Source organism: Homo sapiens, chromosome 11, assembly GCF_000001405.40.
Source record: "Homo sapiens chromosome 11, GRCh38.p14 Primary Assembly".
NCBI classification, from domain to species: domain Eukaryota; kingdom Metazoa; phylum Chordata; class Mammalia; order Primates; family Hominidae; genus Homo; species Homo sapiens.
In genome coordinates this window covers 59,706,384-59,715,845 of record NC_000011.10, presented here as the reverse complement: position 1 = coordinate 59,715,845, position 9,462 = coordinate 59,706,384, and the positions used below count along the sequence as shown (strand labels likewise).

General features: G+C 40.4%; 1 protein-coding gene across 1 annotated transcript; it reads left to right on the top strand.

Moving 5' to 3' along the window:
- Positions 1-2,000: 2,000 nt before the first annotated feature.
- On the top strand, positions 2,001-2,930 carry OR10V1 (olfactory receptor family 10 subfamily V member 1). The gene has a single exon (NM_001005324.1). The coding sequence runs from the start codon at positions 2,001-2,003 to the stop codon at positions 2,928-2,930; it is 930 nt and encodes a 309-aa protein (NP_001005324.1).

Below are 9,462 nucleotides of genomic sequence, written 5' to 3'. Positions count from 1 at the left end.
TCTGCTCCTTAGAAGAGAAAAAAGGGAAGTTCTTTTTGCTGCATTGCCCGGAGCAGCATTTACTAGATAGCCATAGTAATCATGTATTGTAATTATTATTGTAATTATGTCTCTCAAGTGTGGAAATACTATAATCCAACATTTTCAGTCCTAGATCTTAGGTACTCTTTTTCCAATAGACCATCTAGAGTTCTGAATTGTAATCAATTAATAGCAAAGCTACTTAGGAGATAAAAAGTATGGAGGGAGAAAGTAGGGTATAAACTAAGGTTAAGCAAACAAGCTCTATAATCAAACAAACTGTTCAAACCGTGACTTTTCCATTTTCTAGCTATGTGAATTCAGAAAATGTTAAAATTTCTTTAAGCCTATGTGTCTTCATCTGTTAAAAAGGGATGATGATAGTACACCCCTACTAACATGGTTTTATAGATTAAGTGGGCAAATGCATAATAGAGCACTTTTCACCATGCCTTGCGCTTATTATGAAAGAAATGATAATTTTTCATAAGACAGAGGTCCAGCCCCCATCCTTGGGGAACATAAAATGTAATTGGGTCAGGACATATAGATACAGTAAAATACAGTTTGGTAGCACTAAACTCATAATACTGAGCAACGTAAAACGTCAGAGAAAGGAAAGAGAGTGACCTAGGGAGATTTCATAAAAGAACAACATATCCTAGAATTTGAAAATTGGGTATGATTTGGATTAAGCAAAAGAGAGGAGAAAGTATTTCTAGTTGGAAGGAGAATGGAAGTATATGAAGCAGCAGGGAGAATATGAATAAGAGGCCAATGAGTAGACCATGTGGTCTGTAACAGGGATATTTAAGCGCCATAGCAGGATTAGTCTAAAAAAGTCAGCTCCAAGAGAGACTGGAATAATTGGCAGAAGACTGTGAAGGTCAACATTTAAGCAATAGGAAGGCACTGAAAATTTCTAAGCATATAAGCAACATGATAATAGAGAGCAGGATGGATTACAGAGGGAGGAGAAGGGAGATGGGAGAATAGATAGCTATCACAGGAATCCTCATGGAAGATAACAATGGAGAAAGCTGATTAAGGAAATGGGAAAGGACCAAAGCAACAGATAGGAGAGACTCTTTGAAAGATGAACTATCAGTGTGTAGGGACATATAGGATAAAGGAAAAATGTAAATCAAAGTCTCTAGGTTTTGAGATATATTACAGAGTTTATGATTCAATTTCATAATATGCCAGCAACACAATTCTCTTTAAATTATGGCATACATCTGCCTATACAATCCTAAAATTTTTTATTTATTGTCTTATATAATTAATCAATACCCTATTTTACCCATTTTGTAACTTTGAACTTTAAATTTGCTTTATTCATTAATTTGTTCAGCAAATGCTTCTTGGCAACCCTATACAGTAGGCACTGTGCTAGGCACTGGAATTAAAATAAAGATCACCAGGCCAGGCGTGATGGCTTACACCTGTAATCCCAGCACTTTGGGAAGCAGAGGCTGGCGGATCACCTGAGGTCAGGAGTTCGAAACCAGCCTGGTCAACACAGTGAAACCCCATCTTTACTAAAAATTCAAAAATTAGCCAGGCATGGTGGCGGGCACCTGTAATCCCAGCTACTCAGGAGGCTGAGGCATGAGAATCACTTGAATCCAGGAGGCAGAGGTTGCAGTGATCCAAGATTGCACCACTGCACTCCAGCCTGTGTGACAGAGCGAGACTCCATCTCAAAAAATAAAATAAAATAAAAAAGATAAAGTCCCTGCCACTGAGGATTTTTCAGTCTTTGGTACTTGGGAGGTGGGAGAGGAAAGATGAGGAGGTGGCAAATGTATAAATTATAATGCTATATAATCTGCTATAAAATGAAAACATGCACATCATCCCTGAGGTTTCTCAGCAAGTGCCTGAATACTGAATGGAGAAGTTGGGAAAGCATCATATGAAACCAGAGATGCCTTGAGGCCCATGTCATCTTTCCTCTTAGGTCCAATACTCTACTCATGGAAGGAATAAATAAAACTGCAAAGATGCAGTTTTTCTTTCGTCCATTCTCACCTGACCCTGAGGTCCAGATGCTGATTTTTGTGGTCTTCCTGATGATGTATCTGACCAGCCTCGGTGGAAATGCTACAATTGCAGTCATTGTTCAGATCAATCATTCCCTCCACACCCCCATGTACTTTTTCCTGGCTAATCTGGCAGTTCTAGAAATCTTCTATACATCTTCCATCACCCCATTGGCCTTGGCAAACCTCCTTTCAATGGGCAAAACTCCTGTTTCCATCACGGGATGTGGCACCCAGATGTTTTTCTTTGTCTTCTTGGGTGGGGCTGATTGTGTCCTGCTGGTAGTCATGGCTTATGACCAGTTTATAGCGATCTGTCACCCTCTGCGATACAGGCTCATCATGAGCTGGTCCTTGTGTGTGGAGCTGCTGGTAGGCTCCTTGGTGCTGGGGTTCCTGTTGTCACTGCCACTCACCATTTTAATCTTCCATCTCCCATTCTGCCACAATGATGAGATCTACCACTTCTACTGTGACATGCCTGCAGTCATGCGCCTGGCTTGTGCAGACACACGCGTTCACAAGACTGCTCTGTATATCATCAGCTTCATCGTCCTTAGCATCCCCCTCTCATTGATCTCCATCTCCTATGTCTTCATCGTGGTAGCCATTTTACGGATCCGGTCAGCAGAAGGGCGCCAGCAAGCCTACTCTACCTGCTCTTCTCACATCTTAGTGGTCCTCCTGCAGTATGGCTGCACCAGCTTTATATACTTGTCCCCCAGTTCCAGCTACTCTCCTGAGATGGGCCGGGTGGTATCTGTGGCCTACACATTTATCACTCCCATTTTAAACCCCTTGATCTATAGTTTGAGGAACAAGGAACTGAAAGATGCCCTAAGGAAAGCATTGAGAAAATTCTAGGTAGGATGATCCTATGATTTACTTAAATTGGGACACTTCTGAGAGTGAAATGGGATGCTACTAATAATTTTGCTGAAAGGACATGCATAGGTGGGTGTGTGGCTCACGCCTATAATCCCAGCACTTTGGGAGGCCAAGGCAGGCAGATCACTTGAGGTTGGGAGTTTGAGACCAGCCTCACCAACATGGAGAAACCCATCTCTACTAAAAATACAAAGTTAGCTGGCTGTGGTGGTGCATGCCTGTAACCCCAGCTATTTGGGAAGCTGAGGCAGGAGAATCACTTGAACCAGGGAGGCAGAGGTTTCGGTGAGCTGAGATTGTGCCATTGCATCAGCCTGGGTAACAAGAGCAAAACTCTGTCTCACAAAAAAAAAAAAAAAAAAAAAAAAATTGCCAGAAAAAAAACTTTACATTTTTTGTTTTATTTACCAAAATGAAAACTCATGTCAGTGTTCATAACTTTGAAAGAGTACCCCAGTAATAAAAAGGATACTAATAATGGAGGAAAATATTATTTAACAAGTAAAACACAGGAGAAGAAGAAAATGAGCATCATTGCATCTTATGTTCTTTAAGAATCTCTTCTTCAGCATCTTGGAGAGTCATTGACCCTGCTTGAGCTTCCAAGGAGAGAGAGCATTAACTCATAAGATGCTTCATTCCTTACTGGACAACTGTAGTCATTAAGTACTATAACTTACCTTGAGCTAAGGTCTCTATCTACAAACAACTTTCTCCCCCTGGTCTTGTTTTTACTCTAGAGCTCTCTTATATTAATACATAACAGCTCCTCACATGTATTAGGACAGGTTTTGTATCTTCTGTAAATCTTCAGTGCTCTTTTCTCTAAAACAAGTACCCCAACTCTTCCTCCAGGAGGTTATATTTGAACCTTCTCATTATACCAGTCACCTTCTAGATTTTCTCCAGCTCCATATCATTGTGCAAATTTCACCCCCAAATAACCACATTACACTGGAAATATTTTGTTCTGAGGGACTGTTATTTTTCATGACCTGTAAGCTATATTTTCTTCTTCTTTTTTTTTTTTTTTTTTTTTTTGAGACGGAGTCTTGCTCTGTCGCCTAGGCTGGAGTGCAGTGGCTCAATCCTGGCTCACTGCAATCTCTGCCTCCCAGGCTCAAGCAATTCCCCCACTTCAGCCTCCTGAGTAACTGGGATTACAGGTGCACACCACCACGCCCAGCGAATTTTTGTATTTTTAGTAGAGAAGGGGTTTCACCATGTTGGCCAGGTGGGTCTCGAACTCCTCACCTCAAGTGATCTGCCTGCCTTGGCCTCCCAAAGTGCTGGGATTACAGGTGTGAACCACCACACCTGGACACTATGTTTTCATTAAATAATTTTGATCACTTTAGCCACAAAATTTGATATCACATAAAACCTTCATATAGCTTTAAAATAGTTTTCAATTCTGCCTGACCATAATTTATTTTAGTAGCATACATTTAGGACTTTTCATTTAACACGGATAATTTGTATTTTATTGGTTTTCACCAAGTGATGAAAACTGCCAAAATCATCTTCAGGCTTTATCTTATTCTTCATACTTTTGTGTCATGGGCAAAACTGCAAAAACTGCCAAAATGATCTTCAGGCTTTATTTTATTCACCATAGTTTTGTGTCATGGGCAAAACTGCAATCATATTTTATTGCTTTTGTCTAAATTATTGACAAAAATATCAAGCAGAACATGAAGAGGGCAGAGTCTGGTATCATCTTCAGGAATTGTTCAATTAGGTAGACATCTGCTCAGTTAAACTACCTGTTGGGTACTGTGCTAACTACTTGGGCAATGGGATCATTCGTACCCTAAACCTCAGCATCACACAATATACCCACGTAACAAACCTATACATGTACCCTCTGAACCTGAAAGTTGAAAATTTTTCTAAAAAAAGAAAGAAATCTGCTCAATGAATAACATCTGGGGTACATTGTTGCAATTATGGCCCCCCTTGAACTCCACCTGCCTATATCCATGCCTTTAGGCAGTCTCCCACCCCACCCCACCCCCACCCCCACTGCCATCACTCCCGGAGGGCTATGTGACTTGCTTTGGCCAATGAGACATTAGCAAATGCATTGCAAGCATAGGCTTACACTTATATTTTGGGGCCTGCCTTCTCTTGCTGTCCTAAGGCCTCCACATAGCCTGGGCTAGGATGACATCGTGTAGAACAAAGATAAGCTGTCCAAGTTGAAACTACCTAAGCCAATCAGCCCTAATCTACCAGCTGACTTTAGCCACATTAGTAACTCCGGTAAGACTAACAGAGTCCAGCCCAGATTGTTGACCCATAGAATCAGGGCAAATAAATGATTGATATTTTAAGTCATTATGTTTGGAACAGTTCATTTTGCAGCAAAATGTAACTGCTTTGCCAACAAATCTATAATTAGCCATCTCACAGAGGGATATGATGAGAAACCTCAAATCCTTTCATACAATCAAAATACACTGCAGCACTTGTATAAATCTAATCATTTAAAGCTCTTGTTTTTAAAATGAGGTGCATTTGGCATGATTTATCATGAATCACTTTATATGGGCTCATAGTAATCACCAGTCTTTTCAAAATTCTTACAACTTATCTGTTCGATCATTTCCAGAATTCTACTAGGGGTTGGCATTGAGATATCTATCTTACACATATTTTGTATCTGTAGCTTCAGCTAAATGGGAAAAAAATTCAAGAGTTCTGAGTGCCTTGGAAATGGAGAATGTAGCATTAATCTTTGGATACCCATAATAGTGGGTAATACTTATTAAACTCAGTTGATTCACTATCAAAAGACAGATAAAATTTTAGGATGGTGTACTAGTCTTGTCTCTCTTAAAAATTATATGGTCCTTATATAAAGCAACTGTGTCTTATTTATACTTCTTTATCTTTTTTCTATTTTTTAACTTTCTCTACTCCTTGAAAACTTTTTTCTATCATTTACATTCTTCATTGCCTTTTACAGTGAAGCTACTTCATAATTATTGGAATTAAGCAAGACTTTCTTTGGAGATAACTTCTTTCTGGTTCTCAGATTTTTAAAATGTCACTAATAAGGGTACATACTCATTTAAAATATTTTTGAAACCTTTATTGCTAATACTAATTTTTTATTGTTGTATTTGATTCTAGTATCTGTGACTTCAGTGTTCCCTAAGATTACAAATAGTGAAAAATACAAATGGGAAACTATAAAATATCCATTGGAAGGGAGCAGGTAGGTATCATTATTGCATATTAAAGGAAGATCATATACTTTACTGTCTTTTTTTGAGACAAGGTCTTGTTCTGTTGCCCAGGCTGGAGTGCAATGGCACAATCAGAGTTCACTGTAGCCTCAATCTCCCGGGCTCAAGCACCCAAGTAACTGGGACTAAAGTTGCACACCACCATGCCCAGAAAAAAAAAATTTTTTTTTTTTTTAGATGGAGTCTCACTCTGTCACCCAGGCTGGAGTGCAGTGGCACGATCTCGGCTCACTGCAACCTCTGCCTCCCAGGTTCAGGCAATTATCTTGCCTCTGCCTCCTGAGTAGCTGGGATTACAGGTGTGTACCACCATGCCCAGCTAGTTTTTGTATTTTTAGTAGAGATGGAGTTTCACCATGTTGGTCAGGCTGGTCTCAAACTCCTGACCTCATGATCTGCCCGCCTCAGCATCCCAGAATGCTGGGATTACAGGCGTGAGCCACTGCGCCCGGCCAGAAAAATTTATTATTTTTTTTTGTAAAGATGGGCGTCTCACCTTGTTGGCTAGGCTGGTCTCAAACCCTTAAGTTCAAACGATCTTCCCATCTTGGCCTCCCAAAGTGCTGAGATTACAGGCGTGAGCTGCTGCATCCAACCATACTTTACTATCTTTAACTCAATTTTAGCAAGGATTTTTAAAATTTCAGTTACAGAAAATTTTGAGAATTTGAAAATTTCACTTGCCTTATTGATGTTTTTCCACTTTTTTCCAGTGATTCTAGAGAGCTGGGTGCAAAAGCATATTCTGCAGTCATGCCCAGTAAAAAATTCCCAAACTCCCATTTCTCTCATCATCTATTTTGTAGCACTGTGGTATTCAGAAGAAAATGAAAGAGAAATTCTTCTAACCAGGGTAGAAAAGGAATAATGAGAAAGAGATGAGTCAGAAGATACTGGAAAGAACAAATTAGAAAGAGAGATGGAGATAGGGTCAACAGGGGAAAGCAGATATTTGAGGAATCTCTGGGATGTGACTGCTATGGCTTGAATGTGTGTCTCCTCCAAAATTCATGTTGAAACTTAATCCCCATTAGAGTGGCATTAAGAGGTATGGCCAGGTCGGGCACAGTGGCTCACACCTGTAATCCCAGCACTTTGGGAGGCTGAGACAGCCAGATCACTTGAGGCCAGGTGTTCAAGACCTGCCTGGCCAATATGGCAAAACCCCATCTCTACTAAAAATAAAAATAAAAAAATTATCTGGAGCATGGTGGTACAAGCCTGTAATCCCAGCTACTCAGGAGGCTGAGGCATAAGAATCATTTGAACCCAGCAGTTGGAGGTTGCAGTGAGCTGAGATTATACCACTGCATTCCAGCCTAAGCAACAGAGCCAGACCCTGTCTCAAAAAACAAACAAACAAACAAACAAAAAGAGGTAGGGCCTTTGCAGGGAGTGAGTAACTCAGGAGCGCTCCTCATGAATGGGTTAGTGCCTTATAAAAGGGCTGGAGGGAACTGGCTTAGGCCCTTTTTGCCCTTCGGTTCCTTCTTTCATGTGAGGAAATAGCTTTCAAGGCACCATCTTGGAAGCAGAGACCAAGCCGTCACCAGACACCAAATCTGCAGGTGTCTTGATCTTGGGCTTCCCAGCCTCCAGAACTAAGAGGAAATAAATTGTCATTCTTTATAAGTCATCCAGTCTCAGGTATTTATTATAGCAGTGCAAATGGATGAAGATGTAACGAAATTTAGAGAGTTATGAGTTATTGCAATAGGCATCAAGGAGTTGGCTGAGTATTGAAGCATCTTCCATTGCTTCTCTGGAAGGGACAATGGGACTGAGAGCCAGGAGAAATGGCTTCTAGGAGCTGTGTAATGTTGGAAAAGCTGCTTTCATTCTTGAAGACTGCTAATGCTTCTATAACAAAGTATAGCAAATGGGGCAGCAACATAAATTTATTTTCTCACAATTCTGGAGACTAGAAGCCTGAGATCAAGGTATTGGCAGGGTTGATTTATTCTGAGGCCTCTGTCCTTGACTTGCAGAGAGCCGTCTTCTCCCCCTGTCTTTATGTGGTCTTTCTCCTGTTTGTGTCTGTGTACTACTGCCCTGTTTTTATAAGACCAGTCATATTGTATTAGGGCTCACCCTAATGATTTCACTTACTCTTTATTACCTCTTTAAAGGCTTTATCTCCAAATACATTCTGAAGTATTGAGGGCTAGGGCCTCAACATATAAATTTGGGTTGGAGGGAAGACATAATGTAGCCCAAAACAAAGGCTCAATCTCAGTATCTAGAAAACTAGAGGATTATACTTGTTAATATTTAAGCTATGTTCAGGCACTGACTTGCCGTGGCCCCAATCCCTGTTGGACTGAACAAAGGAGGACAAACGCGGGAATAAAGATAAAGAAAAAAGAGTATATTTGGAAGAAGGGGTCAGAGGGCTCCTTGCTTCTAGTGAACAAGGGCCCTGAGTTTTACAGCCCTTTGTATTTATTGGGTAAAGGAGATTGGGAGAAGGGGGGTGGTTGTCGGTCAGCAGCTTGACTCAGTGCAGGCTTGCAAGGCTGCATTCTCTGAACAGTAGTCTCCAGATGTTCCAGTAGATAACCTCAAGGAGCACAGTGCCAGGGAGTGATTGCACTCAGCATATCTTCTGGCAGCAGGCACAGTCATGAGTTTGCCCACATCCTGCATTCATGATAAATAGTTTGCTGTTTGATCATATAGCCTCCAGTGGAATGCTGAGTTAGTCACGACCCACAGGACTTCGGCTCTCTTTTTTCTTTATCTTTATTCTTTTTTTCTTTATCTTTATTACCTATAAAAGAGTATCTTTATCTATCTATAAAAGAGTAAAAATACTCTTTTCTTTATCTTTATTCCCACATTTGTCCTCCTTTGTTCAGTCCAACAGGGATTGGGGCCGCAGCAAGTCAGTGCCTGAATATATCTTAAATATTAACAAGTACAATCCTCTTGTTTTCTAGATACTGAGATTGAGGCTTTGTTTTGGGCTACATTATGTCTTCCCTCCAAACCAAATTTATATGTTGAGGCCCTAGCCCTCAATGCTTCAGAATGTATTTGGAGATAAAGCGTTTAAAGAGGTAATGAATCAAATGACTTTGATTCAGTAATTTAACTCCCACTTTCTATTTACATCTGTCAATATGCTGGCCATTTCTCCTCACATTGGAGAGGCTTCTATGGTACTTTCTACCATACTCTGCTAATAATGGTTTCTTGTCTGCTTCTTAATCAGAAAGCAAAATAGAACAACTTGGGCATGAACAAATGGGGTA

Coding starts and splice junctions, on each gene's coding strand:
- OR10V1 (NM_001005324.1), top strand. CDS start 2,001: ATGGAAGGAATAAATAAAACTGCAAAGATGCAGTTTTTCTTTCGTCCA.